This window comes from Homo sapiens, chromosome 4, assembly GCF_000001405.40.
Source record: "Homo sapiens chromosome 4, GRCh38.p14 Primary Assembly".
NCBI classification, from domain to species: Eukaryota; Metazoa; Chordata; class Mammalia; order Primates; family Hominidae; genus Homo; species Homo sapiens.
The window spans coordinates 117,050,171-117,076,562 of NC_000004.12; the positions used below are offsets into that span (position 1 = coordinate 117,050,171).

At 34.7% G+C, this 26,392-nt stretch overlaps 1 long non-coding RNA gene across 1 annotated transcript; it reads left to right on the plus strand.

The window, feature by feature from the left end:
- The first annotated feature begins 765 nt into the window (after positions 1 to 765).
- On the plus strand, positions 766 to 22,896 carry LOC105377387 (uncharacterized). Its single transcript, XR_939101.2, has 4 exons — positions 766 to 846; positions 1,227 to 1,271; positions 22,113 to 22,153; positions 22,815 to 22,896. It is a non-coding gene; the product is annotated as an uncharacterized LOC105377387 (long non-coding RNA).
- Positions 22,897 to 26,392: the final 3,496 nt, after the last annotated feature.

Consider the following 26,392-nt stretch of genomic DNA (forward strand, 5'->3'; position numbering starts at 1 on the left):
TTTAAATTTTACTATGAGGTTTAAAAGTGCTTAGCTAAGAAAATGTTAAGAATACATAAATAACTTAAAAAGGAACAAAATAATGTTCAGAATAATTCTATCACTTAGCCGTAGAGCATATGGCTAGAGGCTTTAGTTTCATTCTTCAGTAAAAATATACAAGTCTGCTATTAAATAATTTCCCTATTTCTCAAAGTTTTAAAGTTTATCAGGTATATTCACATATTTAATGACCAAAAGTAATTAAAAGTTTATAATTCTTCAAAAGTTAATTGAAAGAAACAAATATATTTAAATAACTATTTTTATTCATTGTTCAGACTGAATGATAATAATTTTACCATGATTTGAGTATGTTGTTCTATGTTATATAATCTTTAGCAGAAAAAAAATTTCCCCATAGGAAAGTATTGAAAATTAAGTTACATTATGTTAGTGTTACGCTTTTCTCTAAAATATCTGGTCTCAGTTTTTTTGGAAATAAGTACTAAGCATATATATACCCAACTAGATGAACTATTGATCTGTTCCACTGTGGAAACTCCTTATACGTTTGTTGTTACTGTTAATTTTAGTTTTCTCTATTGTTGTCTAAGTGAACACTCAATTGTCAAAGCCTTTGTTCAGAGTAACACAAAGGCCAATAGGTTGATACATGACACAGAGATTTTTAACACAGATATTTTAAATTATCTGTGCTACACAAAGTTGGCTCGTATAATAAGTGTGTTTTCTCCCATCCTGAATTAATCATTGCCTTATTTTGATAGCACCTAGCACTATTACTGTATAGAGAAATGCTCATGGGAAAAAAATCAAGATTCAATAATGCGGTGATTTATCAAGGTAAAGACATTGTGAATAATTTATCTTTGTAGCATTTCCCAGTGTTTTCACTTTGCCTGACACATAATAAATTACTGACTAATTTTTTTTGAATGTTTATGCGAGCGATGTTGTGAAAAATAAGGTTTCTCTCTCCATATTTGTGACTACATAAAGTTAACAATTGATTAATATGATTAATTTTCAACTTGATTCAAGCAACAGTGTCTGGCCTGCATAGGCGCTGAATAATTCACGTTAAAATACAGCTTATAATTCACAGAACTATACTGTTTTATTATCTTTGCCCAAATATTAATGTAAAAAGTCTTCTTCCCTAAATATTTCAATTAATCTTCTAAGAAACCCACATGACCCTTACTCTACTCTAATTTCCACAGACTGTGAAAATATACCAAAAGTTGAAGAGCAGCTGAATTCCAACTGTGAGTATTTATTCGCCCAAATGAGTGATTAGATATTTAAAGTAAGCTGAGGAAATAAAATTAAGAATGCAGTCTGAAACACGAAAGTTATCTTGTGAAATTGAATATCAATGATATAAAAACTAATGAGATTTGCAAGAACCTCCCTGTCATTTTTAGGCATACATTAATGACACGGAAATATTAAAGTAGAAAAATGGTAGGGCATAATTAGGAAATATTTTTATTTAAAGAGAGCCATGAAAAATAAAGAAGATTATATATCAGTAGAGTAATTTTATGCAGAATCCATTTCATTTATGTAACACAATTTGGTTTTATCTTTTGCTTGGCCTGTATTACATCGGACAGATTAGGCATTTATAATTATCAGTGCAGATTGTTACAAAGTAAGGACTGAATATTAGATTTTAGATTAGGAATAATAAAGTATGAAAATAAAGGATGCTCAAAAAAGTAAATATTTACTTTCTTTGGGTGGTGACGTAGACACAATGATTTTAATACATCATGTTTTTAGGAAAGGGAATAGAGGAAATCGGTAAATTTTATAAAATAATAAATACTACTGTAGCTAATTTTTTTCTTAACATATGAAAGTGTTGGTGATACTCTGTATTGTGCTTTTAGCACGTTGGCAGATACTCTTATTTAGAGATTAAACCTATTTTGATCTACAGTAATCCAGTACTTAGACACATGCACCTTCTAAAATGACTACAATGCAGAACTATTGGTCAAATCAATTTATTTAGCTAGAAACCACTCCGTCAATCACTCCATGATTTTAAAATCATGTAGACAAAGAAAGTGATATAATTCTTGCTTTAATTTTGTAAAGTAAAGCAAATTTATAAATTTTATTAATAATTAGTTTAAACTTTTAAGTTTCTGATTTACAATTACATTTAGGTTTGGAATAGATGTTTCTTTTCTTTTTCTTTTTTTTAAGATGAAGTCTCGCTCTGTTGCCAGGCTGGCTGGAGTGCAGTGGCACGACCTCCACTCACTGCAACCTCCGCCTCCCAGGTTCAAGCGATTCTCCTGCCTCAGCCTCCTGAGTAGCTGGGACTACAGGTGTGCACCACTACGCCCAGCTAATTTTTGTATTTTTAGTAGAGACAGGTTTTCACCATGTTGGCCAGGATGGTCTCAATCTCTTGACCTTGTGATTTGCTCACTTCGGCCTCCCAAAGTGCTGGGATTACAGGCATAAGCCGCAGAGCCTGGCCTGGAATAGATGTTTCTTATAGCTGCCATTTGCTGGGTCACGAGTTTCTAAATTTAAAACATGAGATAGGTGTGGAGGTGTATCGTATTCCCCAAGACTCTAGTTTGAACATTCTTTTAATCTCCAAATAGAAGTGTTAATTCTATAAGAAGCTTTCAAATACACAGTTTTTTCATATAAAGAGTTGAAATGAAAAGAAGTATGACTACACAAGGGCATTTTACAGTTGACTAAGCAGTTCATTTAACCCAAACTGTTTATACAAGAAATAGATTTTAACCAAGAAAAATGTACATTAAATAAAATAATAATTTCCACATTATCTTTATTATAGGTCATATAAAGAGCATACGTTCTGAGGACTAACTCTGGAAAATATTTCCATTGTATTTGTTTCTATAGATTTAATGTTGTGATCTATTTCTTCTCTTTCTTCAGACACATACCTAAAACCTATGTTCCCTCTCCCAAAGTACACAATCCCTCACCAATTCACCCAATAATTTCCAAGTATCATATTTAGCTAAATATTTTAGGTAACATAGGACTGCTGTGATAGTTAAAACTAGATCAATTCTCATGTCTTCTACATAGTTCACATGTATTATTTATAAGAAAAATATTTCCTGCTCCAGTGACTATTTAGTACAGTATTCTCTCCACCCAGAATTGTTTTCCTAAGTTTTCTAGAGAAATTTCTCCTTCTTTAAAACTAAAGTTAAAAGTTACCTGTCCTGAGAAACTTATCTGCACATCTCCAAGCACAGGAAATACCTCCCTCGCCTAATTTTTGTTCTCTTAACACCCAAATGGTCATTGGCGTAAGTGTACAGTCACAACTGTGATAAGTTTATGTCAAAGTTATTGTCATCTTTGTGTCCACAGCACCTAGAAGTCCCTGACTCTAAATACTTAATAACATTTGAGATAAATTTTTTAAAATAATATGTTTATAATAAATGGTATGTCTCCTCCTACAATAAATTCTGTTATAAAATAACTTCCATTTCCACACAAGAACTGGGAAACTGAATTTCTATGTGGGTTTGGGAAAAGAAGGAATACCAGATAGTATCTCTTGTGGAAACCACTGTTAGCCATATTTTTGTCAGCTGTACCAAGGAATATTCCGGACATGCTAAGTTTGGATGCAGCCAAATATGTTCATGTCCCAAGGATATCAATTTTGTTTGTGAATGCGGCTGTGGTACTGTCTTTTTATTGGTTCCTTTATCCTTGTTAGGCAATACCTGCACCATTCCCCTCACGTTGCAATCTTAGCAGATATGTTCAGTTCAAACAAGGCTTCTTATTGAGGCATATGGGCATAGGCATAACTTTACTGATGTAATATTGATTATTTACTTATTAATTCTCTGCTTATGATAGTTCCTTAATAAATTCACTCTATTTTACCATCAAAACTGATCTCAGTATTCAATGCCAACATCTATAAAATTTATGACAACAATTTCATTCTGATATCCCTGCCTGACTAGCTTCTAATTTCAATACACAATTAGCCCCAGCTAGATTCTTTTACAATATCTTTTGTGTTATTTAATTATCTTGCATAATTTCTAATATTTTACATTCTGTTAACTTAATGTCTAACAATTCTAACTTTCCTTTAAAGCCTCATACTCTTGATTAATCTAAATTTCAGCTGGTCTTTGTTGTTTTTCTGAAGTTTCCTCATACTTCAACTAGATTTCTCACTGGCCTCTGACCAAGAGTTATGCATGTATTCTCTAAGACTTGTTTTATGTTGTTCACCTGACAAGAAATTTCTGTTGATTATGCATCCTAGTTAAACAATCATCCTTTGATTCTCTACAGAACTCATTATGTATACCACTAGATACTTATAATTTACTATCTACTACAACTTATTTCCTTCTTAGGCATACAAGATTTATCTTTAAATTGGATTTTAAATAGAATAGAGTCTTATAACTGTTATACACGTTAAATCTATCATAGATTTTGTACAAAATTGGTATTAGTAATATCAGTTTATTCCATAAAAATTATTTTCAGTTCCCTTTATTACATATCTATAAATTATTCTTTCTCTTGTACTAAAATTTATGTTTCTAAAACCCACTGATTTCTGAAAAATATTTCTCATGAAAAATACCAAAAATGCACATTTAAATTGATTTTATTTCATATTTTCAGATTAATAACTGCTGTAGCCAAAATTGGAACATTAGAATACAATAGTAGTTGTTATAAGCTTATGACAATCCAAATATGTGTTACTCTCTGTTGTAGTAGTTTTCTTATACTTTTTGACCCATAGAGATGGTTAAAATTACATCGATTTTCTACCCCTCCTTGTTAGTATTTGGTTTACAATGTACTTTGTAGTTTATCTATTTCATTCCGGTCTCACCTTGTGACTGGCTTTGACCTGTAGAAAGTAGAAGTTATACATAGCATGCAAATTTGTAGTCTTACCCTCAAAAGACATTGCCACATCAATGTAAGCAAACCTGGGCTGAGTGATGGGAGACCATATGAAACTAAGCCACATTATCCCAATCGAGGCATCTTAAACCAGCCAACTCACAGTGAGCAAGCCTAGCTGAGATCAGTTGAATCTGCAGAGATCAACAAAACGGTGGAGTAATATGGACTGGGGAGCTCCTCCAGGGAGAACTGGGTCCCACTGAAGGAACATGCACTGTCCGCAGAGGGGAGGATCTATGAATACCTTCACAGCAGGATTTCAGAACTGAGAGGAAGAAGTGAATGCTGTGTGCCTCCTATCTATCCTCTTTCTAATGGAACTATTTCTTTCTCTACTGTATATTGAAAATGTGGCAGTTATGTAACTTCTTATGCTCCTAGGCCTCTGGATCAAGAAGATTCATATCTGAGGAGGCACATTCACATTTGCTATAAATAGATTCTGACATTGGAGCCAGACTGGGGACAGGAGTTGGGTTGGGGTGAGCCTATTTTGCATATGAGAAGGGACATGAAAAAGTGGTGCCAGTTGGACTATGGTAAGTTAAAAAATGGCCTCCTTTGCCATCTATTCAGTTATCCACTCTTTTTTATGATGTGACTTTACAACTTTCTCATTAAAAATTGGTCTGCACTTCCTTACCTTTTAAATGTGCGTTGGCCATGTGGTTTGACTAAGAGGTTTAATTGGAAGTAAAATTGTACCAGGTGTGACACTACTTTTTCTAAGACTTTGCACACTTCTGCTCTCTCTCAGCAGCTTTTCACTAGCATGAGATCTAGTCTTTTAGAAAATGAGACCACATAGATCCAACTTCTGTCCCAGCAGAGGTTGTTTTCGACCAGCCAGTCCCAACGCAACTAGCCAGTAGACAGCAGATATAACTGGCATTAGCTATGACTGGCTCTGGTTACCAGAACCACCTACACACCCTTTACACTCCTAACTCAATAAATCTTATTATTTTAAGCCACAAAGTTTGTGGTTAGTTTGTTACATGCCAACAGATAACTGATAACTTTTCTATAATTAAAATTATTAAATGTTTACTAAGCCCTTGATAAGAGAAAGTTGTTTACTAATTCTTTTTCCCAGTGTTTTAATCAATATACATATTTTTCATTAAGTATTGGTAGACTCTGGGTACTCCAGTTTCCTACTGCAGCCCAAAGATGTGCATGTTAGGTTAAGTGGTGTGTCTAAATGGTCTCAGTCTGAGTGTGTGTGTGTGTGTGTGTGTGTGTGTGTGTGCATCCTGCCATGGAATGGCTTTCTGTCTAGGAGTGGTTTCTACCTTGCACGCTGAATGCTGTAATAGGCTCCAGCCACCAATGTCCTCAAATTGGAACAACTGGGTAAATAATTATCTTACTTGTTTCCATTAATCTTTTTAAAATATATGTATAACTCATATTTATTCCAATGTTTAATATTTAAAATGTTTGATCTTTATTTAGAAGCTTGGTGATGTTTCTGTGACCAGGAATACGCTACAGGAATTAACTCTTGTTTATATCAATTAGCCTATGGTAAACTTGGTTTGTTTATATCTTCTTTCACTTAGAGTAACAGTTTCCAAGAACATACCAAGATTGTTAGTGAGGGCTGGGCGCAGTGGCTCAGGCCTGTAATCCCAGCACTTTGAGAGGCCGAGGCAGGCTGATCATTTGAGGTCAGGAGTTCAAGATCAGCCTGGCCAACAGGGTAAAACCCCATCTCTATTAGAAATACAAAAATTAGCCAGGCAGGTGGCATCACGTGCCTGTAATCCCAGCGACTCAGGAGGCTGAGGCAGGAGAATTGCTTGAACCAAGGAGGCAGAGGTTGCAGTGAGCCGAGATCGTACCATGCACTCCAGCCTGGGCGACAGAGCCAGACTCCGTCTTAAAAAAAAAGAAGAAGAAAAAAGAAAAAGAAAAAAAAAAAAGAAACATTAGTGAGGACTTCTTGTATATTTCCACAAAATCAATTCAAATCTTAAAAAAATCTACCTACATAAAGAGCTCTCAAAATTCCTGCCACTAAGAAATATTAGGAAAATATAAACTACAGACTGTATCTCTATAGAGATAAATTATATTTTTTAAAAATTACCATTATTTTTGGGAGAAATAAAAGTAATAGGTCTGTTTCCAACTGTTAGAAAGTCAAGGAGCTGGGCCAGGCACGGCGGCTCACACCTGCAATCCCAGCACTTTGGGAGGCTGAGGTGGGCTGATCACCTAAGGTCCAGAGGTCAAGATCAGCCTGGCCAACATGATGAAACCCCATCTCTACTAAAAATACAAAAATTAGCAGAGTGTGGTAGCAGGTGCTTGTAATCCCGGCTACTTGGGAGGCTGAGGCAGGAGAATCACTTGAACTGGGAAGGTGGAGGTTGCAGTGAGCCAAAATCCACCACTGCACTCCAGCCTGGGTGACTGAGACTCTGTCTCAAAAAAAAAAAAGTCGAGGTTGAAATCCAATCCAATAGATAGATATATTTAGGAATCAGATAATATTATAAACTTCTAAATCAACAAGTGCCATTTAGTTTTCAAAAAGGTGAGTTAGGAACAGACGACAATTGGGACCAGAAGGAAGGTTTTCAGGCATGTATGAGTGGAAATGAGCAAACCAGGTACCATGAATAGTGAGTTGACTGTCTTGCCTTGTGTGTACAAAGAAGGTTGGCTGACACTGATGAGGAACATTGACAGAAAGCAGAGGCCCTCATCATCACAGCAAACAACATGCAGAGATATTGTTTCAAAGAACAAGAATCTGAAACTGTATTCAAAAATATAAACTTATTTTAAAATAAATCTCTCAAGTTGATCCTTAAATTATTTTAAACCATATTTTAACAAAAGAAATTTGCATTTTTATACTAAATACACTTTTGTATTTTCACGTGAAGTTGATAAATACCCAATATATATGAACCAAAATGAATTTAACTGAATCTACTTGCTTTTATTCTAGAGGTTATAAAATTTTTAGTACTTTTCATTAATAAAATGATTTATCAACTAGTTAAAAATTGACTTTTTGGAAAAACTCTTAATTTTGCAAGGATACTTTTGTAGTATCAAGACAATTTTCTGTTTTCCAAGCTGTAATTTTTTCTGACAGTTTTAGAAAATAGAAACAGAACATGGGGTAATATTCTATATGGATTTGATTACTATAATATGTTATATAGTCTAATTTCATTTTTTGAGCCCAAACATAATTACTATTCTTTAATTTTTGTGTTTAAAAACTGCATTATTTAATTAATTATAAAAATAAAGGCATTTGTCTTTGCATATCATCAAGAATTATTAAATATATGTATGTTTTTATTTTAATTCATAAAGATTTAAAATGTATTTGAAATAATTTAGGCATTTCACGACTTTTCAAGGAAAATGTTAATAAAGAGAAAAAAATTATGAAAACTATGTTCCCTTTTTCTGTTAGGAACATCTATTGAAACCCTTAGTGATTCAATAACACAGAAAACGACCAGTGGTCTGAGGTGAATCTATGTTATTTATGTATTTATTTATTTATTTTTGAGACAATTTATCCCTCTGTCACCTAGGCTGGGTGATCATGACTCAATACAGCCTCGACCTCCCAGGCTCAAGCGATCCTCCCACCTCAGCCTCCTAAGTAGCTGGGACTACAGGTGTGCACTACCATGCCCAGCTAATTTTTGTACTTTTTGTAGCAACAGGGCTTCACCACATTAGCGAGGCTGGTCTTGAACTTCTGGGCTCAAGTAATCTACCATCCTCGGCTTCCCAACTGTTGGGATTACAGGCATGAGCCACCACACCTGGCCCTGAGGTGAATCTATAACAAGCCCAGGCCTAGCTGTGAATTGAAGAACACCAAAGTAGAAGTGAACAAAATCAAATGAAGTTTCAAAAGACAAATTATTATTGATAAATAAATAGCTAAAAGAGGAAAGACAATAAGGCAATTGTAGCTCAGTAATTTGTTAGAAATATTGATGAAAAATTGTCATGCAATCCATACTATTTTTTGGTTTAAGTAAATTGGGTATAATTTAGCTATGTGCTTTTCTTTGAATACAGAGAAAAATTAGTGGCATCTGCATCTCCCTTCCTAGGTATACTCAATATTAGGCTTATCTAAATAGGAAGAGAGTGGCTATAGCTAATGAAGGAGAATTTTCAGCTGAAAAAGAAATGACCCTACAATTATCAAAACTTTATTTTCTAATCTCTACTAATTCTAACCCTGGCCATGGGGACTTACATGATTTAATTACCTGCCACAGCTTGCCATGGTTCTCAGGCAGAAGCATCTGCAAGTACACAAGCTTGGACACTAGTAAGAGTTATCAAACTATGATCAAAAACCTGTGGTTAAATGTCACAATTCTTTTTTTTTTTTTTTTTTAAGACGGAGTTTCGCTCTGTCGCCCAGGCTGGAGTACAGCGGCGTGATCTCTGCTCACTGCAAGCTCTGCCTCCCGGGTTCAAACCATTCTCCTGCCTCAGCCTCCCGAGTAGCTGGGACTACAGGCGCCTGCCACCACGCCCGGCTAATTTTTTGTATTTTTAGTAGAGACGGAGTTTCATCGAGTTAGTCAGGATGGTCTCGATCCCCTAGCCTCGTGATCCACCCGCCTCGGCCTCCCAAAATGCTGGGATTGCAGGCGTGAGCCACCGCGCCCGGCCGTCACAATTCATTTCTACTCTGCATTGTCTGAGAGAGAAAAAATAACTAGAGAGAGAGAAAAAATAAATAGTAATGAATATTCTGCATTATAGAAGCAGAAAGCAAAACAAAGAACAAGAAGTGTGAAATGATCCAGGTCATTATCTGTCCCAATATCTCACTCATTGCCAAAGTTATTTTTCAAACATCCACCTGCAGTTGGGCATCAATTTTATTTGTGGCTAGATTAGAGATGGATATCTAATCATCTCACAGGGCTATTCATTTACAATTTGTGTAGTTCCACTAACAAGAAGTTTCTCCTTTCACTTGAGTGGCAGCAAACACAGGTTAAAGGCAAGGATCCTAAAGACAATCTTCCCAGACTTTGTGGGTTTAAATCAAGGTGTTACCATTTATTAGCATCATACTATGTGTATCACATTACCTTTCTGTATATCAAGTCATTCATCCATAAAAGCGGGAAAAGAATAATGCCTTTTGGGGGAAACTAGTATGAAGAATAAATGTGACATACCACCTAAATCCTGAAGCGCAATTTTTGGATAACAATCCATGTAAGAAACTTTTTTGTTATGAATTATTCTAAAATAATGTTTAGTCACTTGTCCTAAAATATCCTATGCCCAATCTGACTGTCACTGGAAAGGCTTTCTAATATTTATTCCTTTACTTTTACAAGGGAAAATAATTCTATGTTTTCGAGTTTTCTTTGTAAGATTCATTTCCTACCTTCATCACTCTGTTTACCTTCTAGACACAAAACATTTGCTACTGTGTCTTCTAAAATATGGTGCCCAGAACAAAAAGAACGAAAAGTCATTTCAGATACGCTCTCACAGGAGTACAGAATTTAAAGGGACATTTTTTTTTCATAGCCATAAAATACTGATGGTTTGTATTAAGTTGTTTTGTTTTGTTTTGATTCACATGAACTGTAGTTAAGCTAAGTCACTTATTGATGGTTGACTGTGTTTGCTGTGCAAACAGAATAAGGTAGGAGTTTCTAGTTGTCCATACGAGGTGCCATTATTTTAGCATGGATCAGGTTTCCTGCTGAACAAATTTTTTAAAAATTCTACTTCTATAACCATGCTAACATTTGCTCCATTTGGTAGCATAGGTTGATGAATACCTTTTGTACTTTGAAATATTTAATGAATATAGGGTCAAGTCTGAATGTCAAGGAACATCACTAGAGACAACCCAACAGACTAACATTGATGTTTTGATTGATGTGCTTTGGATATGGTTGTTATAGCAGGTATTAATTTATCTCACTTATATGAAACCTGCTTCAGGTTTCTACCTTGTAAACAAAATATTTTTTGAGAAACTTTGCCAAACATCTGACAAAAATAGATACATTTTGTCTACATTATGTTTCCCAAATATCTAACCTAAAATGCTATTATAAAAAAGAACTAGAGTAATCAAAGAGGAGTAATTCATATTCATAATAAATCCATAATTATAACTCAGCAATAACTGATAAGTTCACAAGCATTGGTTAGATATGGCACATGGATTCACGTAAGGGAATGTATATACTTTCTTAATATCTCATATCTATTCCTTTTTCTCATTCTCATCTGCCATTGCCCTAGTTTAGGATATACTGTTTTTACCTGAGCAATTGGAATAACTTCCTAATAAATCTCATCCCCATTCTTGTTTTCCCAAAATCCACCCTTCACACAATAGCTGAGGTGATCATCCTGTAATGTCTATTGGTAAAGCTATTTCTGTTTATAGTTTTTCAGTGAATTCCTATAAGCTCAATTACTATAACATGGAGCCAAAGGCACTTCATGTTCTGTTAGATACCAACTTCTGTAGTGTTGTCATTTGCCAGTTCCTCAGGTTTCTCTTCTTCAGCTACACAAAACTCTCTATTTTGGTGGAATGACTACCACTGGGAAAGCATGTCACATTTCACTACTCTTCTCTTTCTCTACCTATTTTCTGCCCCACAACTTATACAAACATTTGTTGGATAGTCAAACAAGCTCCCTAACATGTGTGTGTGTGTGCATGTACTTAAGTCATATTTCTCTTATTCCTGTCATATTTATGTGCATACTTTATATGTGTACTTTTTTCACATGTGGCACTTACCTGCATATCCCTGATTATCTCTTTACCATATTTGAAGTACCCTGAAAGCAAACATATTTTTTTCTCCAGCAGTGTTAAGTATATTACAAGATGCCAAAAAATTATTTGAAAAGAATAAAGAGTAAAACCTTACACACACACACAGACACACAAAAACACACACACAAAAAAAAACCTGAAGATTTATCACAATATATGATGATATAGTTTGGCTGTGTCCCCACCCAAATCTCATTATGAATTGTAACTCCCACAATTCCCATGTGCCATGGGAGGAACCCAGTGGGAGGTGATTGAATTATGGGGGCAGGTCTTTTCTGCACTATTCTCATGATAATGAATGAGTCTCATGAGATCTGATGGTTTTAAAATGGGAGTTTCCCTGCACAAGGTCTCTCTTTTTGCCTGCTGCCATCTATGTAAGATGTGACTTGATCCTACTTGCCTTCCACCATAATTGTGAGGCCTCCCCAGCCACATGGAACTGTAAGTCCATTAAACCTCTTTCTTTTGTAAATTGCCCAGTCTCAGGTATGTCTTTTTCAGCAAAATGAAAACAGACTAATACATGTGATATCTAAATATTTGCTGAATAAAAGTAAACAAGGTATGGTTTTACTCATCTGTCATAGAAATACATCCCTTCACACAAATGCCAACGATGCCTTTTTGAATTTATTTACCTCCTTGTTTACATAAGAGTTGATGAACTCATTAGTGACCACCTGGTAACAGTAATGTTCACAATTTATTTCACTGAAGTTGTATTTTGAATCTTTTGCATATGCAACATCTCTATTATTTCCCTGTCAGTATGCCTTTTCTTATTTCCATACAACCCAATAATAATTGTGAGAAAAACCAATCCTCCAGCTATTCAATTTCAGGTCCTAATCTAGCCTTTCCCTTCTTCTGAGTGTCCTCAATCACATAACACTAAACCTCATTTTTGACACTGTGACACATCAAGTTTTAATATATTCACATTGTTTTTGAAGACCGTGCTTAGACCCCTCAGTTAGAATAATATTTGCTCCTGGGACAACGTTCTCAGAAAGCAACTTATTTTCTCACCAAATACTCATCTGGCCAAGGATTTTTCTAGATCTATACTATCCTTCCAGATTATAGCCATTTTTATACTTCATTGTAAAATTATGTTCTTGAAGGTTCATACCATGCAGAAATGTTTTCACAATCACCTGGTGTAGCAAGGAATGCTCGTGTTTACCATTATTCATGCTTCTCCTTTGAACACACATAACCAACCTATATTTCCCAGCTTTCTGATAATTGTGTGGGGCCATTGGAGTTCCAGCCAATGGGAAATTTATGGACCTAAATTGTACTACTCCTAGGACTAGCCTCGAAAACATCTTGCTTGACCCTTCTCACTCTGTCTCTCCCCTCATCTCCCAGCCAAATGCGACAAATCCTGCAAAAAGCCAAGAGTGTGGAAGGATCTGGAGTACCTAAATCACCTTGAACACAATCTGCTACACACTCTTTTGGACTGTGATGTGAATTTAAAAAAGAGCTTTTTTGTTGTTAATGAATGAGATTTGGGTATTTTAAGAATAGCAATTGTTATCTGCTTTGATTAATACATCTTCCAAATATCAGGTGTAGTCTTACATTTCAAGGAGAATGTGACAAATGGCTCATTTTTTTCTCTGTATTTGTACAATTCCCATTACTTTTGAGTGACTTTATTGCACTCAGAATTTCTTAATATTTTCTGTAACTTATTTCTCATCATTTATCTTCAGTAAATCACTCCTGAGGTCACAAGCAGGATTTACAATCCTGTGAACTGAACTATATACTAAGTCCTTCTCTCTAATAACAAACACTTTGGTCTTTTAATCCCTCATATGTATGTTTTTCATATCATGCTTCTTGGCTTTACTTTCTTGATGAAATCCATCATCATGTTTGGCCATTTCTTGTCATTCTTATTTTCAAGGCCCCTGTTCTTCTGCCTTTCTTCTACTTTCTTCGAAACGCAACTCCAAGCTAGACCTATCTAATCACAGACATTTTCCAGCTTCTGGGCTGCTGAGCTTCCCTGGAGAAAAATCCCATAACTCTGACAAGTGGGACAGATTTATAGTTTCCAATTTTAGCTGGGGCCTCAAAATTGCTTGTCAATCCTTTTACTCAATGACTTTTGGTTTGATAGCCCTGACCTACATAATGATGTGAGCACAACTCTCCCTTCTACAGTATCTCGTGCTTATTTCTGGGCATTTCAGAGGAGTCCTTTGTACAAACCCACTTCAAATTTATGAACTGCAGTCCCCCCAGTGTATTAGCCTAGTCTCCTTCTCCTACTCCAGCCACCACTTGCCCATTCGTGCTTTGCACAGTTGCCTGTGGAAGCCTCACCACTGCCAATTGCAATCCTGAAATGCCAGCATCACTGCCAGGGATGCTGTCACCTAGAGCTGAGTACTTCACTTCCTTATAGTGTCACAATGATGTAGAGTTCACTGTCTAGACAGGTTTAAAAAAAAAGTTTCCTTTTAACTTATTATCACATGTGGTCATCTGAACAGCAAAGTTGCTGGGCTGAGGGCCAGAGACTTGCAAAGTTTTCTTATGGAATCCTGAAAAGTGTGGTCCTCATCCCTTAGTCATAGGTGCTCATTCAACAAATAATTTCCTAGTGACTATACAAGTTGATATCAAAGTAGATATTTTTAATTCTTACTTTATGTCTCCAACACACACACAGTGCAAGAGTACAACAGCTCAGTAAAAATAGTAAGTACAATAAAATGTTAAAATAGCTGTGATAAAATTTGCTGTAATATAAAATGGGGTCACAAGAACGGGAGTGAGTAATTAAATTTGAGTTGGAATCAAAAGTTTCTTAGAGGAAATGATATATGAGTAGTTTGCATTTGCCTATGAAAGTGGCTAGCTCTTTACAAAATTATTGCAAGCATCATAGTTGATGGAACAAACTTACTTTTACAAGTTCAAAAAGGTAAACTATAATGGCTTATCTATTTCCCATGTAGATGTATGTATATGTAATCATATACATATATGGAATAGAAGGCTAAAGTTTCATATTAAACATAAATTATCTTTGTCATTCTGTTCTTATCCTTACCATGCCATGGACTGGTCCTAGCACATTTATGCAGTAAGTATAATCTGACTATAGTTTTTCTAGTTCTCCCAGTGTGGCACTCTGTCTAATCTCCCCATTTTTCACCTTACTTGAAATTAAACTTTACTATTTTAATTAAAAACATTTAGAGAAAACCTATTTATGTGCAAAGTGCTGTGCTGTACGCTGTAGTTGAGAAGGAAAAAGGTGTTCGTGTTGACAGGCAAGGCTTGATCTTTGCCCTCAATGAGGGCAACACAAAGGAGAAAAACTAAAATTTTATCTGAGACAGACCTCTCCTATTTGCTTTTCCAAAAAGAAGACACTAGAGGGTTTTTTGGTAATAATTTTTTAAAGTTTTGTCTTTGCCAAAAAAATGATACTCCCTCTCTGCTTGGATAAAGTGATTGAAACTAGATATAAGTAGAAATTAATAAAACACATGAAAAACACATTGTCTGAGTAGGGGATACAGCCCTGGATTTGTTATTCACAATAAGAGCTATGTGATTTCTGCCATTTAGACCAATATTACTTCAAGTATTCCAATATAAGATAAAGCAAAATTTACCAAGAAGGGATATTAAGGAGGGCTATCAAGGAACACAATTTAGATCATTAGGAAGGGGGAACATTTTTGTTGTTTGCTTTTCAGTAATTGTTTTTTATGTTTATTTAACTTTCATTTTTTAAAGAAATGTTAACTGTTTTGTTTTACTTATAAAAGTACTTTATGGAGTACATAGTGATGTTTCAATACATAGAATGCATAGAGATCAGATTAGAGTAATTAACATCCATCATCACAAACATTTATCATTTATTTGTATTGGGAATATTCAATATCCTATATCTAACTATTATTTAAAACTATATATTATTGCTAATCATAATCCTATAGTGCTATAAAACACTAGAAATTATTCCCTGTAGCTTGCTGTAATTTTGTTGATTGTTTTTTATTAGGATAATGGGTCAGCTCTGCCTTGAGACTGCACACACAGATTGCAAGTACTTAGAGGCTATATAGCTGCTTGATTCCCATAACAGTTAGAGATTTTCAGTGTTTGTCATTAAAGTCTGTGCATTACATCTTTTAGTGAGGTCACCTTTATGGATATTGTCAAGTAAATAGAGTCACACTAAGTAACAGGAGACAAAAGAGTTTAATAAGGAGTTAGGACTTACACACATGTGGAAAGAGCAGGGGCTGTGGGGGTCATGATGGCTGTCACTGAAAGGTCAGAGAAACAGAGAAGACATCAGCCTGAAAAACAGAATAAAATGGTTTTTGAAAGTTTCTTTGGAAAAGGTCACAATTCCCAATTATCTTCATAATATCCTATACACTGTCTCAGCTTGCAGCAGGACAGCTGAAAATGGCAGGAAAATCCTGAGTAGCTGCCATGGTTGGTCACTGGGATCTCATCAAAGTATAATGATTTCTCCTTACTTCTGCTTGTCATGTCAAATATGAGGGCCATTCATTTGTAAATGCTCATCTGGATCCAATAAATAAAGAGATGTGGTACTGAGTATGGTAATAATGCAAAGTTTACTAACATTCTAACAAAAAAGAGTGGTTACTTTATATTTGCTACGCTAAGACATTGCTACCCACATTCTTTTTGTGCTAATAAATAATCTGATGATATTTTCATAATCTGAAAGGAAAAACAATAGGTATATTATGTATATTCTACTCAACAGAAATAGTTGTGGCTCTGTTCATATAAGACAAAAGAGGCTTTAAGGGGAAAAATTCTTACTGGCTCTCTATACGAAAACTACATAATGATTAAAGCTTCAATTTACTAGGAATACATAACAATTTTAAATTAGCATGCCCCTGTGACTATAACTTTATAATTTCTCTTTGAGTCAGGGTTCTCCAATTGCAAGTGACAGAAAGAATCTCTAACTTAAGCAGACAAGAAAACTTTTGGTAATATCGGTTTTGATGAGCTCACAATGTTGAGAGAGAATATATTAAATTTTGCATAATGTCTTACAAGCTGACTAATTTAAAATTTAGAAAACAATAAAAGATATTGCTTTCTTTATTTCCTAATATAATCTAATATACTGATGGTGATATATTGAAATCTGCAATGTATCTAATGATTTTCATCAGCTTATCACATTTAAATAATGTCAAAACATTTTTACCGGACTGGTAACAGGGCGAAAATATATTGATTCTATCACTAATTACAATATGTTAAGAATTTATTTGTTTTTCTTTAAAATCATAATATATTATCATTTCTAATTCTTAAATATAGTAGATAGGCAGGGCATGGTGGCTCACAACTGTAAGCCCAGCACTTTGGGGGCCTGAGGTGGGCAGATCACCTGAGATCAGGAGTTTGAGACCTGCCTAGACAACATGGTGAAACCCCGTCTCTACTAAAAATACAAAAATTAGCCAGGCGTGGTGGGATGCACCTGTATTCCCAGCTACTCTGGAGGCTGAGGCAGAAGAATCCCTTGAACCTGAGAGGCGGAGGTTACAGTGAGCCAAGATTGCACCACTGCACTCCAGATGAAATGACAGAGCAAGACTCTGTCTCAAAAAAAAGGATATATATATACATATAAGTATATGTGTGTATATATATATACACTATATGTGTATACTATATATATTATAAGTATGTATATACTATGTATATGTATATACTGTATATACTATATATACTATAAGTATATATATACAATAAGTGTATATATGTATATATATACTATAAAAAGTATATATTATATATATTAAAGTTTTACTTTTGAATAAAAGAAATAATCTACAAGGCACAATTCAACAATGCTTTTATAATATATTTATTGTTTATGTATGTATGTGCATATGCCTGAGTGACCACATTTGTTTGTCTGTGTGCATGCACACACACACATGAAATATACTTTGTTCAAGTTGATAACTAATCATGTGGATAGGAATTCTGTTTTCACATCAATCTAATTTTCTTATTAAATACCATTATTTTCTCCTCCTGGGCCAAGTACAATGTTTTAAACTAGTAAAATGTCTTATTTTTAGTATTGTCAATACTCCCAGTGGTAGAGCAGTGTCGCTTTCTTAAAATATTTCTACCTTCTGGGCAACAGAATTTTTTTTCAGCACTAAATAAGACAAAATCAGTTTTGTAGCTGCTACCTGTTTTATTGTGTGTAGGCCTGTGTTAAGATACTTCATAAACTGTCAAATCCAGATTGGCACTGGAAACACTGTAACGCTTGATATTTGATGAGAAGCTGTCAACTTGCCTCTCCCTGTCAAATTGCCAGATGCTTCTTCATGACCAGTTTAGGCTAAGAGATTACTGGTAGTCAGAGCTCCATACACAAAGATCTTAATGCTATATGATTTGTGAGAGGAGTGGGGTAGAAAAGGTGTGAGACAAGTTATACGTTGTTGGAAAATGGAATTTAATATGCTTAATTATTAAGTTTGTTTTTAGGAACTTGTAGATGAATCAATAATTCAGAAATTACATTGAGAATTAAGCATGAAAAGGCATGGTAAAAATCCCTCTGAGTAATCATATCCATAAAAACAAATAGTCTTTGAACCTTAGGCTATAGCTTTAAGGGAAGTTATTATTCTGTTATTTGCTAGGATAATATTTTATCTCAGTATTTCTTGTTTCTAATTTAATTTATGTTTCACTAAATACCCAGCTAGATATATATGTGGGTGTGTGTAGCTAGACACAGAAAGGAATTGACAGAACACTTTGGCTCTATTTTCAGTGCTATAAAAAGATAAAAGGCAGGGTGCAATGGCTCAAGTCTGTAATCCCAGCACTCTGGGAAGTGGGTGGGTCACTTGAGGCCAGGAGTTCGAGACCAGTCTGGCCGACATGGCAAAACCCTGTCTTTATTAAAAATACAAAAATTATCTGGGTGTGGTGGTATACACCTGTGGTCCCATACACCTGTGGTCCCAGCTACTCAAGTGGCTGAGGCAGGAGAATTGCTTGAACCTGGGAGGCAGAGGTTGCAGTGAGCCGAGATTGCCCCACTGCACTCCAGCCTAGATGATAGGGCAAAACCCTGTCTGGAAAAAATAATAATAATAAAAATAAAAAAGAGATAAAAAAATAACAATAAACCTCATTCTATGTGGTCATGTGTTACTTGGAAAATTATATAGTTACTTAAAAAATTGAGGAATTTACGTAAATGTTTGAAGCTTCCCACTCTGCCCCTAATAAAACAAAACACAAATGGAAGGCACAATATTCCATTATTCCCAATCAGGAAGCCCAAGGGATTAGATACTCCTTCCCTGAACTGGTTAAAAGCTGGGACACAACAAAGTGCTCCTATTCTGAACCTCTTAACATTAAACAAGTAATTCAAAGGTAAATACTGAAGTATATAATTTGTTCACCAGGACAAATTTAGTGAAAGTCTTGGGGGCATTTGATGGCCACAACACCTGTGTCCAGCAGCACTGTGGGTGCCAGCTATGCCCACTGTGGCACTATAACCTGATTACATCCTAGTTTCAGATCTTAACGTCTAGAATTCTCATCTATTCTCTAGTAGTCCTGCTTCTCTCTCAACATTGTGAGCTAATCAATACAGATATTACCAAAAATTTTCTTGTCTACTTAAGTTAGAGATTCTTTCTGTCACTTGCAATTGGAGAACCCTGACTCAAAGACAGATTATAAAGCTATAGTCACAGGGGCATGCTAATTTAAAATTGTTATGTATTTCTAGTAAATTGAAGCTTTAATCATTATATAGTTTTCATATAGAGAGACAGTATAAATTTTTTTCCTTAAACTCTTTTTTGCCTTATATAAACAGAGCCACAACTTATTTCTATTGAGTAGAATATACATAATATACTTCTTGTTTTTCCTTTGGAGTTCAACATTTTGGTTTCTTATATTTACATGTGTTTCTTGAAAACCATATATAGCTGGAGCATTTAGACCATTTAGATTTAAACTGATTACTGATGTTTTCTTTTATTTATAGCTTTAATTTTTGCTTTCAATTGGTTGTTCTTGTTTTATTTTTATGTTTCTATCTTTTCCTTTTTTGAGTATTTGAATATTTTTTAAATTCCATCTTTAGTTTTCCTTCTAAATGAATAATTGCCTTTAGAATTATTTAGTAAAGTTCTGCTTTAGACAGACTCTGAAAAATCTCTTCTATATACCCATCCTTAATATTTTTATAGCCCATGCAAAAGCACACCTTGAAGTTTCCTGTAGAGTCTTTCAAAGTGACTTGAGCCTATTGCTGCACAGAATTCTGGGATTCTAGCTCTATGGACTATAACAGGAGACAATAGGTCATGGGCACTGATGGGCATACCTCAAAGGCCCTATGGATTTTCAGACTTGTCAGGGAGACACTAGAGAAGAGCCCAGGAAGAGACCCTGAAGCCAGGGGATTGGGGCTGGAGCTGCACTTCCCTTAGAGTGACCTAATAGTAGCACTATGTTTCCATTACAAATATTTTTACCATATGTAGATTCTCACATTGACAATTCTCTCAGCATGCAGATTTACATTACACAGCCTTCTTGCCTCCATTATCCCTGCTGAGAATCATCTCTCCTCTCAGACTGTCCATTTTCTGTTCTTAATTTCTCCCTTTGCTCTATAAATTGTTAAGACTTTCTCTTTGCATTTAATTTCCTGACTAGTTTTTATATTACTGGACAAATGTCTACATGTCCAGTTTCAGATTGATTGTGTTTCAGATTTATTTGATTGGTTGAATATGAGGATTGGTGGCGTTTGACACTTCTGGAATCTTCCAGTTATCTTTTAAAATATGGCATTTGCCCCATTTTCTCTCCTCCCTCTCTGAAATCCCAAACACCTATCAGACATTTTCATTCTATCCTTGATCTTTCCTGTTTCCTTGTGCTCTTATGGCATTTTTTTTTCTGACAGATCTATTGTATTGAAGATCTTTTTAAATCTTCTTAATTTGCTCTTTGACTAGTTCATTGAGTTTTACATTTTTCTAGTTGTATATTTTTTTCTTGAATTTCTATTTTTTATCCAAGTCTGCTAGGTGACATTTTAGTTTCCTGAAGATACATTCAAGTTTGTGGTCTTTCTTTTAATATACTAGTTACTAGTTTTAAATTTTCTAGTTACATTTAGAATAAGAAATATTTAATATTAGTAATATATAAAGTTTTTTGTCATTCACCATATCTTCATAATACATGTTATCTTTGTATCACAGAACAGATGCATTGTATCACAGAGAAGAAATTTCCAATGAATAGAAAATATTGGTTTTATTGCTTTACTTAGGTCATTCATAGGAATGCTTCTCAGAAATTTGAAAGACTCTTTCCTAGGCCTTTTCAAAATTTTCTGTAAAGAAAATGTCTGTCATTAGAGATAGGTCTTTTAATTTTTCCCTCTCCATATTCATTCTTCGAAATTTGACCTTACAACTTGACTTCAATTATTGTTTATATTTTGATGACTTTCCAAAATATATGTATCCATCTGAGTTCTTCCTTAAGGCCTGTATATGCTATTATCATTGATAAATATCATTGTGGTGTTTTTGTTGTTTTAAAAGCATTTCAATTTTATTTATTTATTTTTTAGACTTTTAAGTTCAGGGGTACATGTGCAGGTTAGTTACATAGGTAAACTTGTGTCATAGGGGTTTGCTGTACAGACTATCTCATCACCCAGATATTAATCCTAGTGCCCATTGGTTATTTTTCCTGATCATTTTCCTCCTTCCACCCTTCACCCTCCAAAAGGTCTCGGTGTGTGTTGTTCCCCTCTAGGTATCCATGTGTTCTCATAATTTAGCTCCCAATTTTAATTAAGAACATGTGGTATTTGGTTTTCTGTTCCTGCATTATTTTGCTAAGGATAATGACCTCCAGCTCCATCCATGTCCCTGCAAAGGACATAATCTCTTTCTATTTTATGGCTGCATAGTATTTCTTGGTGTATATGTACCACATTTTTTTTATTCAGTCTATCATTGATGGACATTTAGGTAGATTTTATGTCTTTGCTATTGTAAATAGTGTTGCAATGAACATACACATGCATGTGTCTTTATACTAGAATAATTTATATTCCTTTGGGGATATATCCAGTTATAGGATGGCTGGGTCAAATGGTATTTCTGCAAAAACTCAATTGATTTGAGTTCACAATTTTTCTTCCCCTGTATTCTCTTCTCAGAAACAGTACCATATGCTGCTAATTTGCTCATAGCTGAGTTGGTAAGTCATAAATCCATAACACCCATTTATCTCACTGTTCATATCCAGAAGCAACAAATTCTATTGAGACTAACACTAATCATAATTTTTGCACCTATACTCTTCATTCTTCTTCTTGTTACCTCAGTGTGGATTACAATAATTTTTCCTGCATTGTTATATGAAATAGAGTTTGAATAGACTAATTTTCTCTGACTCCTTCCAATAGATTCTCCATGCCACTACAAATATTTTTTAATAAAAATTATCATGTCATTCTCCTGGCAAAATATTTCACTGAATACTTACTGATCTTAGATGAAGTGCAAACTTTTTAGTATGTTATTCAAGGTCGTTCTTTCCTCCCTCACTTGTTCTCTATATCCTAACAATATTTCATGCCCAAACCCATGTCCTCCCTCAATTTTTGGTCTGTATGTGTGCACTTCTCCATCTAGACAATGTGCATCCATCGTTTAAACTTTCTAACCCCTAATTCTCCCACTGTTATTACAGTTGTCAGTTGTTTGAGGAAGATTTCCTTAAACCAATAAGGCTAGACTGATTTCCCTCATAGAATGAATAATACAACTAATAATAGAATGAAAAATCCAACCAATAATCCTATTGCTTAGCCTAGTGCGTTATATATGCTTCATAATTAGTCTTTTTCCTTCCCCAGGCCATAAACACAGTGAGAGGAGGAACTGCCATTTTCCCTTTTAGCTGCGGACCTAAACATAGTGCTGGAAACAGTAGGCATTTAATTACCATTTGCTGAATGGAGAGTTGAATAAACCTTTAATTTGCAGTATAATTAATAAAATGTATGATATGTGATTTTAAACATTACCATACTAGATGTAATGAAATGTAATGCATATAATGAAGCATAAGATTCTTGTACTTAAGTAGTTTATAGTCTATTTCGCCATAAATGATTAAAACCCCTTAAAGATAATAAACAATAAGCTGTTTACTGTTGCCAATAGATATTGCAGAGAATAATTTACATAGGTGATCATTGGAGCCATTTACTCTAATAATTCTCAGAAATTCTATCACACCGCTCTCCTTCTAAACCACCATTTCTTGCCTGTAAATAATGCCATTTCTATGATAAATAAGAATAGACTTATCCAACTTGAAAAATAAACAGGCATTTTAAAAATAAACATATTTAGCCTATAACATTTTCAGTTTCAGTCATATGTTTACAGTTTAGTGAGGGAGATAGTGTTCAAAATATACAATTTAAAACAAGACAGAGTAATTTAGAGTAATTGCAAGAATGGGCATAATTATAACATAGTAGCAGAGGCCAGGTCTAGCTTGAAGAACTATGATATGTTTTGATATATTTGGAAAAATTGATGATCTTATAATAATGTATAGAATCTGATAAATAACAAATATATTTCTAATTGTCCAATACTGCCATTTGAATTTAGTGGGGATTTTGGAGATCTTCAAGCATATAAAATGTCTAATGACTTTATTATATATTTTGGAGTTGATAAAACAGATTTTAGAGAAAACTAGTGAAAATGGGAGACAATTAAATGTTAATATTGGAGAATAATTTTATTTCATAAATCTTTACATGTAGATTAATTTCAGCAAAACCTTATATAGCAGTCAGGATTTGCTATGTGCTCTTTTCTTTCAATAGTTTTAAATATAGTGGGGAAAAATAAAAAATAAGGAAATCTTAATAACTTCAAGAAATTAAGGTTAGTCTCATAATCAACAGGCAATTAAAGTTTAGAAATGAAAATATTCTGCAAATGAAAAACATGCATTTCGTAACCCCAATATAAATACAGCGAAAAATTTCTTTTTTAAGAGTATTCTAATTAGGTAAATGTATTTAAGCAAAGGTGCATGAGAATAACCAAAAAGACACCACTCTGCCACTATTATTGAAACTAGAGCAATTTGTTTAAATGATTTCAGGGTCAATATTGAGGTTGCTCTTTTATGTAAAACAATTCCCAACACATAGCAACTATCTTTCTTTTTAGAATAATGTAGAATACATTATTAGGCCACTAATGTCAACATTCAGAAAATAAAGACATGGGTAACGCCATTCTCCATGTCGGTAGGCAGTGAGAAAGCCAATGATTTTCTTCTTAACAACCCTGAAAACAGATGTGAATAAATAGTATTTCCCCAGAAAGCAAAATCATGTCTAAGAACTTCACAAGAAACATGTTACTGGCCAGCAGTGCTGCACATTTAAAATGCTGCTGAGTAAGTTGGAGGTCATCCTGATAACATTGCCTGGTAAAGAACAAGTTGGCACTTTGCTATAGATTTCCCTGCCAGAACCTATTCCTGTTTTACACCTTCATTTGACCCAGGATGGGTTATTGTATCCAAGATCTAAAACTAGGATCAAATATATTTCTTTAATAATGTTACCTTCCAAACAGGGACTCAGATGAAGGACCTATTGAAGGGCTTGGTTACTCACGTAAGTACCGTCACGCAGAAAGATAACGAGTAATATACTTAAGAGATGTTCCCATCAGGGCACCTTGGATTAATTCAGACAGTTGTCACAGAATGTCATACAAAACATGTTGTCAATCAAACTTAAAGTTTTTTAAGAGTACCTATATATTGATAAATTAAACTTTTGTTTATATTCTTCAAAATGGTTTCCATGTGATAGATCATACTGAATTGTGTTTATTATAATTTATTTAGTGGATTGTTTTCTCTAAGCCTCATCAACCACATTAATCTCATAGGAATTTCATTAGTATTTAACTCCAACAGGTGTAACTTTAGGAGTTACCAATTTTTTTGAGTTTCTTCCTCCCTCTAGTATCCAATATCACATGCCCTCCCAAGTGGGTCCCAGCAGTTCTTCCCACTACTATTCCCACTTCACTGCAGGTCACTTGGTGTTCCCCTTGAGTGAATGAAGGCTGTGCCATTACCACCACCTTCACCCAGACCATGAGCTTCTCTGGGTAGGTGGCGAGCTCTGGCTAATCTGCTGCCCTCAGCGCTGCCATTCATGTCCTAATGGCTGCTGGGGACTCACACTATGCCAATGGTGAGCACATGAACTGCTGTCTTCTGAACAGCTACTCAAGGATCTGATGAAGTCAGGATGTGTGTTACTTGTGCCAGAGCTGCTCACTTTGCACTCTCTTTGGACCTTTTACAGAGGCCAATGCATGCTCTATCAACATATTTGTCTTTCCAAGGTTACTTGACTCTGCTCTTCTAAGTAGCTTCTCAATATTGCACTATGGCTGTTTACAGTCAAAATTGTGTCATTGGCCATTGGACTACGAATTGTCACTTGTCATGTTACTTATCACTGTGTCCCCAGTGTTTATCACCAGGTCTGGGATATACTAATCAATCAATAAATATTTAAGGAATTGAACATAATTTGCTTTGTCTGCTGAGACTTTTAAAGGTGGTCAATGTCTCTCAGCCTTTATGGGATACTCTTTTACAGAGATATCAGAGTTGAAGTGTTTAGACCCAGAGAGCTTATTAGGACGGTCCCTTCACTTTACATAAAGCTTTGTTATTACCAGGATTGGAAATATATATTTTACCTGGAGCGACGGCTCCTTGTGACCCGAATGCACTGGTACTGGTTACCTAAGAAACCTTCCCAGAGGTGCACTACAGCCTTCCCTTACCATGATATTGTTATTTTTCAGACCCCTTTCTCCTTCTCTCCACCAATCCACATGATTTTATCAGGCATATTGTGGATATTTGAAGCTCAGCTATGCATAAATTTTGGGTTGTTTTATTTGAGTATTCTATTATGTATGTATGAGATAAAGGTATGACGACTTTCAATCTCTTTGCAAATATTAAAAATCACATTAAAATATTTGTTTTTGTTAACACACAGTAATACTAAAACTTCAGCCTCCAAAATGTAGTGAAGTCAAACATTTTAAGCAGTATTAAAGAATCTTAAAATCCTTTCAAAAGTTTTACCATGGATTTGCATTATTGGCATGGATAATTAAATTGATTAAAAACATCATCAGATTTCTTAAACTGTCATTAGTTCTGTTTAGTCCCATGGTAATGGTAATTAAAGTGGAAAGATAGAAACTTCAATTAGAAAGAAAAGCTCAGGGCTCCTGTTTTCTCAAGATCTAATGAACACCTGGTGCCTCTGTAATCTATTAAAGCATTGGAATTTTTTGAAAAGTAGAGATGGAGGAAAAAAAACATCAGGAAGATTTCTTTGTTCAAAAATCCTTCAAA